Source organism: Homo sapiens, chromosome 18 (assembly GCF_000001405.40).
Source record: "Homo sapiens chromosome 18, GRCh38.p14 Primary Assembly".
Taxonomy (NCBI): Eukaryota; Metazoa; Chordata; class Mammalia; order Primates; family Hominidae; genus Homo; species Homo sapiens.
The window spans coordinates 26874821-26893454 of NC_000018.10; the positions used below are offsets into that span (position 1 = coordinate 26874821).

General features: G+C 40.1%; 1 long non-coding RNA gene across 1 annotated transcript in view; it reads left to right on the forward strand.

The window, feature by feature from the left end:
• AQP4-AS1 (AQP4 antisense RNA 1) overlaps positions 1 to 18634 on the forward strand; it is a 70639-nt gene that overhangs the window by 9513 nt on the left and 42492 nt on the right. Inside the window, exon 2 of the long non-coding RNA NR_026908.1 lies at positions 18051 to 18172. This is a non-coding gene — a long non-coding RNA (AQP4 antisense RNA 1). The remainder of the gene's footprint in view (positions 1 to 18050; positions 18173 to 18634) is intronic.

Below are 18634 nucleotides of genomic sequence, written 5' to 3' on the forward strand. Positions count from 1 at the left end.
ATACTTAATATTTTTGTTGTAATCATTTTTTTTTGTGCACAGTCTTTGTAACTGACCAAAGGGGCATATGAAAATCACCTGATAAGCTTTCAAGAGCAATGTGATTCTTATTTCTTTTTATTGCTAATAATTCCATTTTAAAGATGAAGAATTGTTGTGTGGAATAAATGAAAGAACTCTATAGTGCCTTCGTAGTTTCAACACTTTACCCTTTGAAAGCATATTACACTGGAGATCTCACAGAATAAGTATAAAACCTCATATTACCCTTTTCATACTGCACAACATTTTGAGTAGAGAAAGTGCTGCCCCAAGTGCCTTGTGGCTCGTGAGATGTTAGGGAGGCCAAAAGAAATTGCTAGAACCAGAACTCATGAGTGCCTCAAGGCCTCAGCCTCAGTTGAGATCATTAGGTTTAACTACAGCTGAATATGGGAATATAGTTCCTCAGACACTCCTAAGTATTATGTCATCCCAGAAACCTTTAATTTTGGTGAAAGAAGAACAAGTGCTTCCATAGTTGATAAGATTAAAGTTCTAATGGTTAGTTGTCTGTCAAAATTACATAGTAGTAGAACACATGAACTATTCCCCGAGTTAGGGTTCTGAAGATTTAGCTCTAACCATTGTAATTTGTTCACTCCAACAAGGAAGCTGAACTTTGATCTTCTTGGTTGCATCACATCCTCACTACATAATACATGGAGTCAACAGTCCATATTGTATCTTTTAAAAGAGAAAGTGAAAACAGATCCATTTAACCATTTTCCCAGTAAAATTGTTTGCTCTCTGAAGCTAAAGATGGCAAGGTGGTCACTTTCAGTGAGCACCTCAATCTTGAAATCTTGATCGAGGTGTGTGTACTGTGTACAATTCCTAGTGTGTTGTCCATCTAGTAGAGTTAGATTTCAAAATCAACAGCAGAAGTAGAACTGAATAACTGAACATTTATAAAATTAGAAGATAAAGAGTGGACTAAGCAACTAAGAAAGTATTTTAGGACACTTTAAAACACCTAGAAATAAATTAGTTTAAACATTCAGTTTGTTACCTATGGCAAAACACTAAAATTCTTGAAATGTTGGGAGTGGACAGGCAGGTGTTTGAGATATCATTCTTTCTATTTCTGTATGGTTGAAATATTAAATAAATAAGAAATTAAATACATATCGTAAATGCTGGTTGATATTATTATGCTCAGTGTTCCTGCCCAGCTGCTTCCGCAGGGTAATGCTCTCTGAAGATTTATCCATGATTCAGGAATACTCCCCCCAACCTGGGGGCTCTGATGCTGCTCCGTCTTCCCTTTGCTTGGCTCTGATAGGTACCCTAGAGCCACTCCCCTGGCTGCTCAAACTCCTGGTATCCCCTGCACTTTCTTCTTATGTTTAGCCAGTGATTTCAACTCCTACATCACAATGAAAAGAAACCTTCAAAGGGAAATCCTTCAAATTCCTGCCACCAAATCTAAAAATGTCTCCACATCTGTGTCATCCCCTCCTTCTGTTTCTTACTGGAGAAATATCCCTCCCTTATCTCAGATGAATTTCTCCACTTCTGTTATGGGTTCCGCCCTCTCCTACCTCCTCTAGTACCATTCTCTAATCCAGCAGTCCTCAAATTGAACTATATATGTTGACATCATACTAGGAACTGAAGCAGAAAAATTTTAAAAATATGTTATAATTTTCTTAAAATATCAAGAATAAACCCAATATATGTTAACTAAATTGAATTTTTATTTATTTATTTGTTTATGTTTTTGAGACAGGGTCTTGCTCCATCCAGGCTGGAGTACCGGGGTGCTGTCACAGCTCACTGTAGTCTCGAACGCCTGGACTCGAGTGATCCTCCTACCTCAGCCTTCTAAGTAGCTGGGACTACAGGCATGCACCACCATGCTAAGCTAATTTGCAAACACTTTTTGTTGAGACGGGGGGTCTTGCTATGTTGCCAGGCTGGTGTTGAATTTCTGGTGTTGTTCAGGCTGGTTTCAAGTGATGTTCTTGCCCCAGCCTCCCAAAGTGCTGGGACTATAGGTGTGAGTCACCTTATTTTATAAGTCACATTTATTTCATAAATAAAAATAAATTTAATTTTCAAAACAAAAACAATTAGTGAAAAGAGAGCATTGTTTTATATTTTTTCAAATCCCTTTAAGTCTGATTTAGTAGAAATCACCTGGATTTCTGTATACAATCTATTGTGAAATAGTTATTTAGTTGAAGTATGAGAAGAGAGTCCTACCCCATACACATATGTAGTTGGAAAAGGGAGGACTTTTTTTTAACAATCTGTTCAGATAATTGTGGATATTTTTCTTTAATACTATACCAAAACTTAACAAGTGGTACTTTCTTAAATCTAGTTGCAATGTGGAATCTGAAAGTATATTAATGATTTTTTAATATCTTGTTACTTTAAAATCCATTAATCTATTTACACTTTGAACTAATTTTTTACTAAGGCATGATTTTTAACATTATTCATGGTGTTTTGAAAAATATTGGTTCACTGAGGTGTGCAGACCATCCAAATGTTGGCATATTTTATTTTATAACATAAAAATACCACATTCATTAATATGACCAATGACATCAGAGCATTTAAGCATTGAGAGCTGTCAAACTCATGAGGCTGATACAAATTTTCCAAAATTATAATTTTTGCTTAAAAGCTCAAATATTAATATTGGAAACAAATTCCATCAGTTTTTCTTGAGGTGACAGGCTCATTTTGCTTACTTTAAGAAAATATCTTCCAAACATTCAATTTGAATAGCCATGGTTTGTTAGCCATTCTTTGAAGTAAAAATAGTATTTCATGAAAAAAGGGGTTAGTTCAGCTCACAACTATATAGACCCAAAAAAAAAGCCATCACACTTGGTCTACAGGAGAAGTGCTTTATATGCACTTTCCATTTTGCCACATTGAATGCTAAAAAGATATGGACTGTGAATCAAGATATAATAAGATTAAAATTTGTGTGTGTCACCAAGAACTTTCTTAAGTGAAACTGGTGTTGATCTTACTGTGTGTGGTGGTGAAGAGGATAATGACCGCCATGATGGTGTGATGGCTCTACCTTGATTCATGCCATGGGGCCAGCAGTTTTATCCATTGCTATGGTTTGAATGTGTCCCCCCAAATTCATGTGCTGGAAACTTAATCCCCAGTGCAACAGTGTGGAGAAGTGGAGCCTTTAAGGGGTGATTAGGTCATAAGGGCAGAAAATGAATTAATGCCAATATCGAGGGAGTGGGTGAGTTATTGTGGGAGTGGATTCCTGATAAAAGGATGAGTTTGACTCCGTTCCTCTTGCTCTGTCTTGTGTTTTTTTACTCTTCAGTCTTCCTCCATGGGATGATATAACAAAAGGGCCCTTGGCAGATGCAAGCCCCTTGATCTTGGACTTCCCAGACTCCAGAACTGCAAGAAAAAAAATCTCTCTTCTTTATAAATTACCCAGTCTCAGATGTTCTATTATAGCAGCACAAAATGGACTAATACACCCACCATTGCTTTTGCACTGATAATACAAAAGTCACATGGTGAAAAAGGCAAATGCTATCTTATTATTATTATTATGAATACAGTTTTGATCTCTCAGCCTCCCTGAAAAGGTTTTTGGGACCCCTAGAGGTATGTAGGCCACCCTTTGAGACCCACTGATCTAATTGATTGTCTCCTTTTTTTGTATCTTAATTCTCTAATTCATATTGTGTCTGTATCTTTTAAGCATGCTGATATGTCTCCCAACTTAGAAAAAAACTTTAAAGGTAACTCCAAGTTACTCACCAAAGACCATTAAATCTATTTTCCCTTTACAGCCAAATGTCTTTAAAGAATCATCTCCACTTATTGTCTCTGCTTTTCCCGTCTTCCATGCTTTCACACCCATTCCAATCTCATTTATTCCCTTATCTGTTTCTGTAAACTGCTCTTTTTAGGTTCCAAGGGCCTTTCCTGTCATGTGACTCCAGGAGACATGCTCCAGTCCTTACCTTCCTTGACCCTTCTGCAGCATCTGACCCCTCTGACCACTTTGTTCATCACAATCTGTGCCATGAATTCTGCTAAGTGCTTTAAATGAAATAGCTCATTTAATCCTCACGGTAACCTGGTGATATAGCTAGGATTGTTATTCCATCTTATAATTTAGAAAACTGAGAAAACTGCCCGAGGTCATACAGGTCACAAGTAGAAGTATAGAGTCTCAAGGTCAGCTCTCCATGACCCCAGATCCAGAGGCCTTAACCACAATATACCCCTTTTTGGAAACACTCACTTCCCTTTCCCACAGTACCACTCTCCAGGTTTATTTTCCTTCCTCTCTAGGTCTTTGTATGTGAAAAAAAATACACTTGTTCCACGTTCTTGCTTTGCTTATAGCAAAAGTCCTGGGAAAGGTTACTTAACTGGCCATGGCTAAGTAATGGGCACACCCAGCCCCTGCCTTTGCCATACTGAGGAATGGGTTGTTTGTATCCTTTAGCTCTGGAAGGTACCCCTAAGCCTGTACCCAAGGGACTTGCTCAAGCCAAAGAATAATTGGATGTTACTTCATTCAGAATTGATAAATGGTCACTAGGATTTATTCTTCTCTTTCTTCTTTTTTTTTTCACTGACTCCTACTCATATTTTAAGACTCAACTTAGATACTGCTCTTTCCCAGAAGCCTTTCCTGACTTCCAAATCTGGATTAGCTGTGCCCCTTGGTGCCCTGAGCTTCCTCCCTTGTGGTATTGTCTTATGGTGCATTGAAGTTGCTGGCTTACATTTCTTCTCTGAGTTCTAGCTTTCAGATGGCGAGATTGTGTCTGAGTTTCACCTTACACCCCCAGAATCTGGTACAGGGCCTGGAATCCATGTCCCTTAATATTTGATGAATAATAAATATACTGGGTGTGAGGAACGAATGGGACCTTCCTGAGATATGTATCTGGAAGTCATTAATGGGGAAAAGTGCTCTCAAGAGTGGTCTAAAGATTTTAGAATTATTTTCACAGAAATAGTGTTTGAAGTCATTGGAACGAATTAGACACTATGGGAGAAAGAAGAAAAAAATGTCTCCGGGAATGGGAAAATAAGAGCCTATGAAGGACCCTGAAAAACACATGGGTTAGAGTTGAAATTCATGTGGCTGCAATGCTATGGAAACAAAAAGAGGGAAGTTCATAAAATAGGGATACCCTGGGGTCCAACAGTTGCAAACACATTAAAGGGAATAAAAATTTTTTAAATGCCATGTGATTTTGAAATAATTCTGTGGTTTTAAAAAGAACTGTTGCAGTTGAATAAAGATAAAAATCACGGAGTGAGGAGAAAGTGCATAGTGAAGAAATCGAGGTTGAAGGTGAAGCATAATATATACAGCTCAGTGGTTCTCAACCAGGTATGCACATCAGTTCACCTGCACAGATGTACAAATCACTAACCCTGGCACCATTTGCAGTTTTCTCATTCAGTAGATCTGGAATGGGGCCTGGGATTCTGTAATTTTGAAAAGCGTTATAGATAACTGAACCTCTGGTTGAAAATCTTTAGTGTATGTCCATCACTTTATTAGTTTGGCTGGTGCACCAATGAAGGAAGTAAGGTTAGGGGAAGTGTTATGGGCTGAATTGCATTCCCCCCAAATTTATATGTTGAAGCCTTAACCCCCAATATGACTGTATTTACCTTAAATAAATAATGAGGATTAAATGACATCATACAGGTGGGGCCCTAATCCAAAAGGGCTGGTGTCCTTATTAGAAGAGGAAGAGACACTGGAGTATGTGCGCTCTCTCTCTCTCTCTCTCCACACTGAGAAAGCAGCCATCCACAAGCTAGGAGGAGAGGTCTCACCAGAAATAAATCCTGCTGGTACCTTAGTCCTGAACTTCCAGCCTCCAGAGCTGTGAGAAATAAATAGCTGTTGTTTAAACCACCCTGTTTTAGTGAGCTTCACTAAAAATAAGGGAGAGGCCTTTATTTCTAGGATACTGGAATCTAGTATCCTAGTTATTTCTAGGATACTAGAATCAAGTTAGAGGGAGAGAATGAGCCAATAGCAGTGGATAGGAAAAAAACAAAATGATTGAATAGAAAGGTACAGCTGAGAAAGCCAGAATCTAGAAAATGTGAGAACTGGGATTACAGAGAAGTCAGCCTTGGAGAACCACATTATAGCATTTCTGTATATTTTTCATTTGATCCTACTAATGGCTTTGAGATACGCAGATGAGGAAGATTGATTTCATAGGGGCCAGATTTGTACAGTTGTGAACTGGAAGACCTAGGACGAGGAACGTGTCTGAATTAGCTTTTCCTAATGAGCTCTCCTTCCACAGCATTTTCCAAACTGCTTTCATTTCTGTGCCACCTTCACCATTTCTGCCATATTGAAGTCAGCTCCTTACTATTATTTTTTTGTGTGTATGTATATGTACACGTGTGTGTGTGTGTATCAACACACATATTCAACTCTGATTTTTACTTAGCATCAACCTATGCAACAATACCACAGGTTTGACACGCTAGTTATATTTTTAAAATGCATATTAAATTCAATATATATACTTTCAGGAAAATCCATTCCATGTATCACCTAAGGGCATCTTGCATACCATCAGTGGCCCATATGCTGCCTCCATGATGAGGAATGACACTGTTTTTGAGAAAGGAGGAAAGAAAACGAGGATTCAGGAGGAAATGCCTTATATTAAGATGGAGATGAAGATTTGTGTGCATCTCATTTGAAGGTGGTTAAAGGTGGTTAGCCCCTCAGGCAGTACAGATCAAGGAATGTTGGATAGGACATCACAGAAATCATTAGAGAATTAATTACTCCAGAATAGAGGTTTTACATTTTTCAAGTGGTGACTTGGGCTCTGCTGTCTGTTAGTACGTCCCCTGCAGAGCAGCGAAGGATGAAGGCAGCAGTAGTCCTGGCCTTAGACCTAGGCACTCGGGACCCCTGCCCTGGGTTCCTGTTTGAGGATGCTCTGTTCCTTCCCAGGATACACCACCTTCCTTCTTGGGCACACCCACACTCTCCATAACTAGGACTCTGGAATTCTCTGCTCTTAGAGACTGGACCTGTCTCTTCTTTTGCTTCCCTCTCCCCACCTGAACTACATTGCCTCTGTCTGCAACCTTAGGTTCCAGTGACGGCCAATAGACAGCTGGTGGCCAATAGTTAGCAGGTGTGTGTGTGTGTGGACCTAGGACTGAGGTGTCCACACACACATATGCTAGGCTCCTTGTGCTGCAGAGTAAAGCCATGGGTGGAAAGAAAAGGGAGGGACCCAGTCATGTAAATATTAGGAAAGAACTTGATTACTGCAGACTCAGAGAACTGAGCAAAAGAGAGAGAAGCAATTCTCAGGGAACAGGAGAGACAGTTCAAAGAGAACATGCCCTGCAAGTTCCATCCTCTGCACATTCTTACCACTTTGTAGTAGGAATTAGAATTATCCACAGCTGTGCAAATATTGTGAGGAAGACTTTATTTAAAATGGGGGCTGGATGTGGTGGGTAACACCTGCAATCCCAGCACTTTGGAAGCCCAAGGCAGGATCCCTCGAGCTCAGGAGTTTGATACCTCGTCTCTACTGAAAAAAAAAAAAAAATTAACTGGGCGTGGTAGTGCACGCCTGTAGTCATAGCTACTCTGAGGTGGAAGAATCCCTTGAGCCCAGGAGTTTGAGGCTACAATGAGCTATGATGGTACCACTGCACTCCAGCCTGGGTGACAGAGCAAGATCCTGTCTCATAAAAGAAAAATAAATAAATAAATAAGAAACTTTAACAAGCAGACCAAGAGATAGAGTGCTGTGTGCGGTTAGTACCAAAGACTAGATTCATAGAATCCTCACTGTGGCCATTTTGATACAGACTGAATTGGAACAGGACAATGTAGAACACAGAGGAAGAACAGCAACAGGAGTGGAAACAAGACAACAAAAAGGCCCTGCATGAGCTGTGCACAGAAATGTTCCCTTACTTGCACTGGGCTAAGATTTTCACCAATTCTTCAGGAAAAAAGAAAATGGAAGTTAGCATTGAAATGACACCAAGTATTGTTGGTTTTGGTTTCAATCAGATACATATGTATTGAACAAACTCTATCTTTCATATATTAAGGAAGGCTCTGGTGTTAATAAAATAGCATGAAAATAAATTCCTGCAGGAATCAGGTGGGAGAGAGACTACAGGTGGAGAAGATTTAACATAGAGATTTGGAGTAATTTGTTTGGAAAATGTGCTATGGAAGGCACGTAATATAAATAATAAGGTTTTGGTCAGCTAGCAGCACATTTGAAGCTAGCATGGATGTGTAGGGAGGTCATCAAGATTCTATAGTTTTCCTTAGTAAGGCTCTGCAGTTGGGAGGAGGAGCAGGATGAACGGGTGGAGGGAACTGGGTCAAGCTTGGCACAGTACCCACTTAAATATTGAAGTGGCTGACCTTGCTGCCTGGGCTAATTATCATCATCATAATCACTAAAAAATTTTTTTGAGCTCTTACTATATGCCAGTTTCTGTTCTTAAGTCTTTAAATGGATCATCTTTGGGCTGGGCAGGAGGCATGTGATCATAAGAGAATCAGCAAGCTGTGTAAGATGGAAAGGCAGGCAGAGTCATTCCAAAGCTTAGTAAAGGTTCTAGAAATTTGTATTCAACTGCTTCAGTGTATACTGAACATGGATGAAGTTCAGTATGAGAAATTCAGCTTTAAAGATTTGACAGTTCCAAAATTAATATTGTTATAATGTCCATACTACCCAAAATGATCTATTGATTTAATGAAATCCCTATCAAAATTTCAATGACATTTTTCCTAGAAATAAAAAAAAATTCTAAAATTTTCACGGAACTACAGAAAACTCTGAATAGCCAAAGTAATCTTATGCAAAAAAGAACAAAGCTGGAGGCATCTCATTACCTGACTTCATAATATACTACAAAGCTATAGTAATCAAAGCAGCATAGTACTGGCGTAAAAATTGATGTACAGACTAATGGAACAGACAGGAGGGCACAGAAATAAATCTGCACATTACAATCCATTGTTTTTTGACAAAGAAGCCAAGATGTATACACTGAAGCAGTTGAATACAAATTTCTAGAACCTTTACCAAGCTTTGGAATCACTTTGCCTGCCTTCCCATATCTTGGGGGGTGTCCACCCCACTGCGATGTCGATCGTAATACCCAGCCAGGGGAGGGGGGTGATATTACTCCCCATATGGCGGGGGGTGTCCACCACCCTGCTATGTGGATCATAATACCCAGTGGGGTGGAGGGGGGTGATATTACTCCCCATATGGCGGAGGGTGTCCAGCCTCCTGCGATGTGGATTGTAATAACCAGGAGGAGAGACGGGGGCGATATTGCTCCCCATATCGCAGGGGGTGTCCACCCTTCTGCGATGTGGACCGTAATACCCAGTGGGAGAGACGGGGTGATATTACTTCACATATGTCGGGGGGTGTCCACCCCACTGCGATATAGACCCTAATACCCAGAGAGGGAGAAGGGGTAATATTACTCCCCATGTCATGGGGGGTGTTCACCCTCCTTCTATATGGGGAGTAATATCATCTCTCCCATCCTGGATATTAGGAACAATTTCACAGGGTGTGTGTACACAGCCTGCAATGTTGAAAGTAATGTCATCCTCTCCCCCTCCGGATATTAGGAACAATATCACAAAAGGACTGTACACTTTTTGCGATATTTCGAGTAATATCATCCTGTGATTCCCTGAATATTGGGAGACATATTTTCCACAAGGTGGGTGTACACTCATTGCTATACTGGGAGTAACATCCTACTGTACCCCCCGGAAATTATGAGCAATATCACAGGGGTGCACAGCCATTGCCATAGCAGAAGTAATATCATGCGCTCCCTCACTAGTTTTTAGGAACAATATCACAGGGGGAAGTACACCTTCTGGGGTATTGGGAATAATATCATCATCTCTTCTTGTAGATATTAGGTACAATATCACGGGGGGGGGTGTACACCCCTTGCTCTATTAGAAGTAATATCGTTCTCGCCTCTTCTAGATTTTACCAATAATATCACAAGCGGGGTGTACATCCCTTGTTATATTGGGAGTAATAGCATCTTCTTTCAACCTGGATATTGAGAACAATATTACATGGGGGTGTACATCCCTTCAATATTCGGAGTAACAGTATCTTCTCCACTCCTGGATATAAGAAACAATATCACAGGCAGGGTGTACACCCCTTGTTGTATTGGGAGTAATAGCATCTTCTTTCAACCTGGATATTGAAAACTGTATCACATGGTGAGTGTCCATGCCTTCAATATTGGTAGTAATACTAATTTCTTCCCTCCTGGATATAAGAAACAATATCACGGGTGTGGTGTACACCCCTTGCAATATTGGGAGTAACGTCACCTCTCCCTATGTGGTTATTACGGAGAAAATCACAGGGTGGCTGTACACTTCCTACGTTATTGGGAGTAATATCATCCACAACCCCCCTGGATGGCAGGAACCGTATCACAGAAGGGGTGTACAGCCCCTGCGATATTGGGAGTAATATTATTCTCTTGTCCCTGTACGTTAGGAACTATATCACAGGGGGGCTGTACACCTTCTGTGATATTAGAATTAATGTTATCATCTTCTCCACTGAATATTAGGAACAATATCACAGAAGGGTGTACACCCCCTGCGATCAGGCCAGTAATATCATCGGCTCCTTCCCTGGATATTAGGAACAATTTCACAAGGTGTGTACACCCCCTGCGCTATTGGGAGTAACATTATTCTCTCTTCCCCTCGATATTAGAAAGAATATCACAGGTGGAGGGTACACCCCACCCCCTGCGATATTGGGAGTAATATCATCCTCTTTTAACCTGGATATTAGGAGCGGTGTCACAGGGGGCGTGTACACTTCCTTCGATACTGGGAGTAATATCCTCTCTCCCCGTAAATAGTAGGAAAAATATCAAAGGTGTGTACAGCACTTGCGATATTGAGAGTAACATAATCCTCCCCTCACCTGGATATCAGAAATAATATCACGGTGGGGGGGTGTACACAACCTGCGATATTGGGAGTAACATTATTTTCTGCCCCCATGGATGTTGAGAACAGTATCACAAGGGCGGTGTACACCGTCTGCGATAATGGGTGTAATAGCGTCCTCACTCCCCCTAGATATTAGGAACAATACCACAGGCAGATTACACACCCGCTGCAACGTTGGGAGTAATATCATCCTTTCCCCCCTGGATACTAGGAACAATATCTCATGGGAGGTGTACAGCCCATTCCATTTTGGGAGTAATATTAATTTCTTCATTGCTGGAAATAAGAAACAATATAACAGGGGTGGTGTACACACCCTGTGATATTGCCAGTAATAGAGACTTCGCCCCCCCCACCGGATATTAGGAACAACATCAAAAAGGGGTGTATACAGCGATATTGGGATTAATATCACGCTCTCCCCCTTGAATTTAGGAACAATATCAAAGAAAGGGTGTCCACCCCTTGCGATATTGACAGTAATTACATCCTCTCCCTCCGTGGATTTTAAGAACAATACCACATAGTTGGTGTACACGCACTGCGATACTGGAAGTAATGTCATCCTCTTCCCCCTGGATATTAAAAACAGTATCACAGAGGTGGTCTACACCCCCCGCGATGTGGCCAGCAATATCATCCTTTCCCCCACTGGATATTGGGAACAACATCACAGGGGTGTGTACACCTCCTGCGCTATTGGGAGTAGTATCATTCTCTCTTCTTCTGGATATTAGGAATAATATCATAGGTGGGGTGTACAACCCCTGCGATACTGGCAGTAATATTATCCTCACGCAACCTGGATATTCAAAACCGAATAACAGGGGGGTGTACACCCCCTGCGATATTGGTAGTAACATCATTCTCTCCCCCACTTGATATTACAAAACAATATCCCAAGAAAGGGTGTACACCCTCTGAGATATTGAGAGCATTATCATCCTCTCCCCAACTAAATATGAGGAACAATGTTGGTGGGGGGGATGTACACCCCTTGCGATATTGGGAGTAATATCCTCTCCCTCCCTGGATATTAGAAACAATATCAAAGGGGTCGTGTACACCCCCTGTGATATTGGGAGTAATATCATTCTAATCTCCCCGGGATATTTGGAACAATATTATGGAGGGGGTGTACAACCTCTGCCATATTGTGAGTCATATCATTTCTCTTCCCCTGGATATTAGGAACAATATCTAGAGTAATAATATCCCTTCCCTTCTGGACATTAAGAACAATATCACTGGGTGGGTGTACAGCCCCTGCAATATTGGGAGTAATATCATCCTCTCCCTCTCTCGATATTAGGAACAATATCCCAAGGTGGGTGTACATCCCCTGCGATATTGGGCGTAATATCATCGTCTGCCAACATGGATATTGGGAACAATTTCACGGGGTGGGGAGGGGGTGTACACCTTCTTCCATGTTGGGAGTAATATCATCCTCTCCCCCCGAATTGTAGGAAAAACTTCGAAAGGGTTTTACCACTTGTGCAATATTGGCAGTAATATCATCCTCTCCCCACCTAGATATTAGGAACTATATCACAGGATGCTGTACACTTCTTGCGATATTGGGAGGAATATCATCCTCTCCCATCATGGATATTAAGAACAATATCACAGGGAAGGTGGACAACCCCTGCGATATTGAGGGTAATATTATGCTCTCCCCTTCTGGACATCAGGAATAATATCACAGGAGGTGTGTACAACCCCTGCGATATTAGGAGTAATGCCATCTTTTCCCCCCGAATATAAGAAACAATATCACAGGAAGATGTACACCCCCTGAGATATTGGGAGTAATATCATTCTCTCCTACTCTGGATATTCAGAACAATATAACGGGGGTGGAGTGGCGTGTATACCCCTGCGGTATTGGGAGTAATATCTTCCTCTCCACCGCTGGCTATTAGGAACAATGTCACAGAAGGGGTGTACACCCCCTGGTGTATTGGGAGTAATATCATCCTCTCCGTCCCTGGATATTAGGAACAATATCACTAAGGAGTGTACACCTCCTGTGATACTGAGACTAGTATCATCCTCTTGCCCCCTGGATATTAGGAACAATATCACAGGGGTGGTGTACACCTCCTGCGAATTTGGGGCAAATGTCATCCTCTCCACCTTTGGATATTAGAGACAATATCACAGGAGGGGTCTACGCCCCCTGCAATATTGGGAGTGATATCATCCTCTCCCCCCCGGATATCAGGAACAATATCACAGAAGGGATGTGCACCCACTGTGATATTTTGAGTAATGTCATCCTCTACCCGCTGGCTATTAAGAACAATACAGGTGGTGTAAGCTTTCCGCGACATTGGGAGTTATAGCATCGTCTCCCCCAGATATCAGGAACAATAATATTAATATTAATAATTAATATCAATTATTAATATTAATAAAATGATGCTAATTAATATCAATCATTACTATTAGTAATTAAAGTGCTTACAATGAAATTAATGTTAATAACATCAATAAGAGCCATAGTAAATAAAACATTAGCAATTTATATTGATTAATAACTAGTATTAGTATTAATAATTAATAATACCATTATGTTAGAAATCAGTATTAGTTGCTATCAATAATTAATAATAATAATTAGTGATTACTAATGACATTATCACTATTATCATTTCTAATACCGCACGGGGTCTACACCCAACTGTGATTTTGTTCCTAATAGTCAGGGCAGGAGAGCATGATATTAGTTTCAATATCGCAGTAGGTGTACACCCGCCCTGTGATACTGATTCTAATATCCACGGGTCAGAGTATGAAATTACTCCAAATAGAGCAGGGGGTGTCCAGCCACCCGGTGATATTGCTCCTAATATTCACAAAAGAAGAGAATGATATCACTGCCAATATCGCAGGGAGTGTACACCTCTTCTGTGATACTGTTCCTAGCATCCGGAGGGGGAGAGGATGATAATACTTAAAGTATCGCAGGATGTGTACACCCACCCTGTGATATTGTTCCTAATATCCAGGAAGGGAGAGGATGATATTACTCCCCTCATAGCACAGATGTACACCCACCCTGGGATGTTGTTCCTAATGTCCATGGAGGAGAGAGGCTGATATTACTCCCAATATCGCAGGGGGTGTACATCCACCCTGTGATACTGCTCTTAATATTCAAAGGCCGGGAGGTTGATATTATTCCCAACATCGCAGAAAGTGTACACCCCCGTGTGATATTGTTCCTAATATCCAGAAGGGGAGAAGATGATATTACTCCCCATATCGCAGGAGGTGTACAGCCACTCTGTGATTTTTTTTAATAAGCGGGGGGGTGGGGGGAGAAGATAATATTATTCTCAATTTCTCAGGGAATGTACAACCCCCTGTGAGATTGTCCTTAATATTCAAAGACAGAGGGGATGATATTACTCCCAATATCGCAGAAAGTGTACACCCCCTAGTGATATTGTTCCCATGATCCACGATAGAAGAGGATGATATTACTTTCAATATCACAGAATGTGTACACGCACCCAGTGATATTGTTCCTAATTTCAAGGTGGGAGAGGATGATATGACACCTAATATCGCAGAGAGTAAAAACACTCCTGTGATATTGTTCTTAATATCAAGGGTGGGGAGAGGACGATATTACTGCCAATACTGCAGAGGGTGTACACTTGTCTGGAAATAGTTCATAATTTCAAGAAGGGAAGATGGTATTACTCACAATATCATAAACAAGCTGTCGGTCCACCGTGGATCGTAATATCCAAGGGAAGAGAGGGGGGTGATATTACTCCCCATATCGTGGGGGGTGCCCACCCCCCTGCGATGTGGATTGCAATATCCAGGGGGCAAGATGGGGATGATATTACTCCCCATATCGCGGGGAATGTCCACCCCACTGCGATGTGGATCATAATATCCACGATATGGGGGTGATATTACTCCACATATTGCAGGGGGGTGCCCACCCCCCTGCAATATGGATTGTAATATCCAGGGGAGGAGAGGGGGGTGATAATACTCCCCATATTCTCTTATGATCTCATGCCTCCTGCCCAGCCCAGAGATGAGACTTTCCTTACCTAATGAGAAAAGGACAGTCTCTTCAACAAACAGTGCTGGAAAAACTGGATATCCACATGTGGAAGAATAAAAATGGACCCTCATCTCACAACATACACAAAAATCAACTCAAAATGGATTAAAGACTTAAATGTATGACCCGAAAATGTAAAACTATGGAAGAAAATATAAGGGAAAACCCTATGATGTTGATCTGGACAGTGATTTTTTTGGATATGACCCGAAAGGCACAGACAACAAAAGCAAAAATAAAGAAATGGGATTATGTCAAACTAAAAAGCTTCTGCCCAAGCAAGGAAATAATCAATAGAATGAAGAGACAACCTATGGAATGAGAGAAAATATTTGCAAACCATACATCTGATAAGTGGTCAATATCCAAAATATATAAGGAAATCAAATGACTCAATAACAGGAAATCAAATAACCTGATTTACAAATGGGCAAAGGATCTGAGTAGATATTTCTCCAAAGAAGACATGGAAATGGCCAATTGCTAAGAAAGTAGATTTTAAGTGTTCTTTTTACAAAAAAAGATAAGTATTTGAGATAGGGCTTTGTTAAATAGCTGAATTTTGCCAATCTACAATACATAAATATATCAAAACATCATGTTGTATGCTATAAATATATACAATTTTTATTTGTCATTTAAGGTAAACAAATTTTTAAAAATGAAACAAACAAAAAGATTTGACAATTCCAGAATGAATGACTGAGATAAAATGTAGTGATCTGATCATCTTGAAAGGTCATTACAATTGATTGAATTATTTTGGCTGTTGTGGAATATTTTCCACGTGGCCTTGTTTGGAAGCAGGGTTATAAATAAGGTCATCCCTTCCTGATTTTAGGGATGTGAAATCAAACTTAGTATTTTAAAATTTTGTTTTGAGTTGGGCTTCCACTGGTAGAAAAATAAATGAGAACTTAATTCCATTATTTAGAATTGAAAAAATAGATTTTTAAACAAAATGATTTGTCTACCTGTGCTGTGGTGGAAAAGTATGGGTGTCTGTGACAGGGTTTCCTTTATCAAGTGAAAAAACTTCAACCCAGACTGGGCTAATTTTTCATTTGGTAATATGGCCATATCTGGGAAGCAATCATTTCCAGATCTTAACTGGCATTTCAATTACTAACTTTTACATTTCACATGTTTAATGGAACCTGGAAAAGGAGACACAGATTTTAGTCTTCTTGGCTAGTTTGTGGGTATAGAACAATCTTAACTCGGACATCGTGGAAGTCAGTGAGCTGTGTAGACAGGACCTTCTGGGGAGCTGATTGTTCATGCACTGCAAAACTCTCTTTCAATTATTGAAATCAACTTTTTTCCAATGCCTCAAAGCAAGGACGATTCTGAGGCCTTTGAAAGCAATTTTTCATTTTGTTTCTTTGCATACTGACACATCTCGATGTTTACTACGTAACAGAAGAGCTAATTTAAAGCAGTGTGTTGCTAAGCCTAGCTCTCTCCCTATGTCTCCCTGCCTCTGCCACCCTGGATCCTGTGGTCCTCAGTACTTTTCTGTGCCATACATTAGAATCCCAGAATGGCATTCTAAATAGGAGACAGGCGGCAGAGTAGTAAAAATTGAGTGAATTTATGATTCAACTGAGAAGATTCTCTTTCCAGTATTCTTTTCCCCAGTAAAGTGATTGTACTGATTCCTTTGTAAATTTGGTCACTTGGAAAGTTCTAAGGATTGAGCAAATTGCTTTTAAAGAATCTCCATTTTCTGCATATGTATGTCACCTACTCAAAATCTTATTTTCCAGTTTAAATTATTTTCTAACTAATATGTTATACTTCCCTCAGCAATCCCTCAACTGTAAGAAAAATGCATTTTTTTCTTCTAGTGATAAATAGTAAGTTCATTGCATTTCTTAGAATATAAACATTCATAATTGATAACGTCCACACATCTCCCCAGTCCTCATGTTTGTATTATTAGCTTAATATGGAAAGACTGTGTGTGTGTGTGTATGTGTGTGTGTGCATTTGTGTCCATAATAAAAGAGAAATCTTATGTGTCCATAATAAAAGAGAAATCTATTTTGCTAATGAGAGTTTCCAATCAACAAATTTTGCCTTGTGAATTACAGTTTTAAAGTACTTTCAATTGTTAAATTTATTGCTATTTAAAATCCTATTTAGGAACCTTGCTATTAATACTAGAACTTTAGTTACAGCCTCAAGTTTGAGCCCCTCCCAAAAAATCTCATCTCCTGGAGCCTGCAAAAGTGTATAAAATATGTTCAGAAAAATACATCTTGGACAGCCATGGAGTGGAATGGAGAGCTGGTGGGATATATGGCTGAGAGGAGAGGTCCAAGACAGTGCCTTTCCTGGTCACAAGGTCAAGGTCAATATGGCTCACATGGGTGATGCCATTTTCTTCTTGTTCTCATAACATCCAGAAGATGTGCTGGCTGATCAGCAGTTTTGCAGAACTGCTACTTTGGTTCTCAGGGAGTGCTCTAGAATATATTTACATAACTTGAGAAAAATGTCTTGAGCATATACTGCATGGCCAGTACTGTGCCTGAGCCCTCTTAGTGTCTAGATGTGAATTGTAGTTATAGTCTCATGGCTAAAAGTTGTTTTGTATTTCAGTCTCTTCTGCCACCTGGTTTTTAAAATGTTTTCCTTTTTGAGAAAATCACAATTACCTGTATATGTAAATTTTATTGTTAAAGATGAGTACTGATATTTTGACTTTATTTTGGGTCATAGGCTTGCAAAGCTTTACTTAAGACTTCAGTAAGTAAAGGCCCATGACTGATTTGTAGAATCACTGAAATAATAGTAAGACTCTACTTCTCAGAAGATGAAACAGAGTCTTAGAGAAGTTTATTACTAAATTAGACAGTTTTTTTTTGTTTTGTTTTTTTTTTTGAGATGGTGTCTCACCCTGTTGCCCAGGCTGGAATACAGTGGCACGATCCTGGCTCACTGCAATCTCCATCTCCCGGGTTCAAGCGATTCTCCTGCCTCAGCCTCTCAAGTAGCTGGGATTACAGGTATGTGCCACCACGCCGACTAATTTTCATATTTTTAGTAGAGATGGGGGTTTCACCATGTTGGCCAGGCTGGTCTCGAACTCCTGACCTCAGGTGCTCTGCCCGCCTTGTCCTCCCAAAGTTCTAGGATTACAGGCATGAGCCATTGTGCCCAGCTGACAGTTGTGTTTTTAACTTGAATTTTATACTTAATTTTTGATAAGAATTTTTATTTGGGGTGTATTATGATATTTGAATATATGATATTTTGTGGGTATGGAGATTGCAGATGATTTACCAGATTTGCAGAGCAAGTAATAGAGGACAGTTTATTCCTTCTTAGTTTTCACTTGCTCTTCTTCCACATGTGTTAGCCACTGTTAGCTCCACTCCAGATGAGATAGAGCTTCTTTTCTGTCTGAGCATGAATTTGCTGGGAGCCATGAGATAAGTTTTTTCTTAGGTCACATAGTTATTAAATAA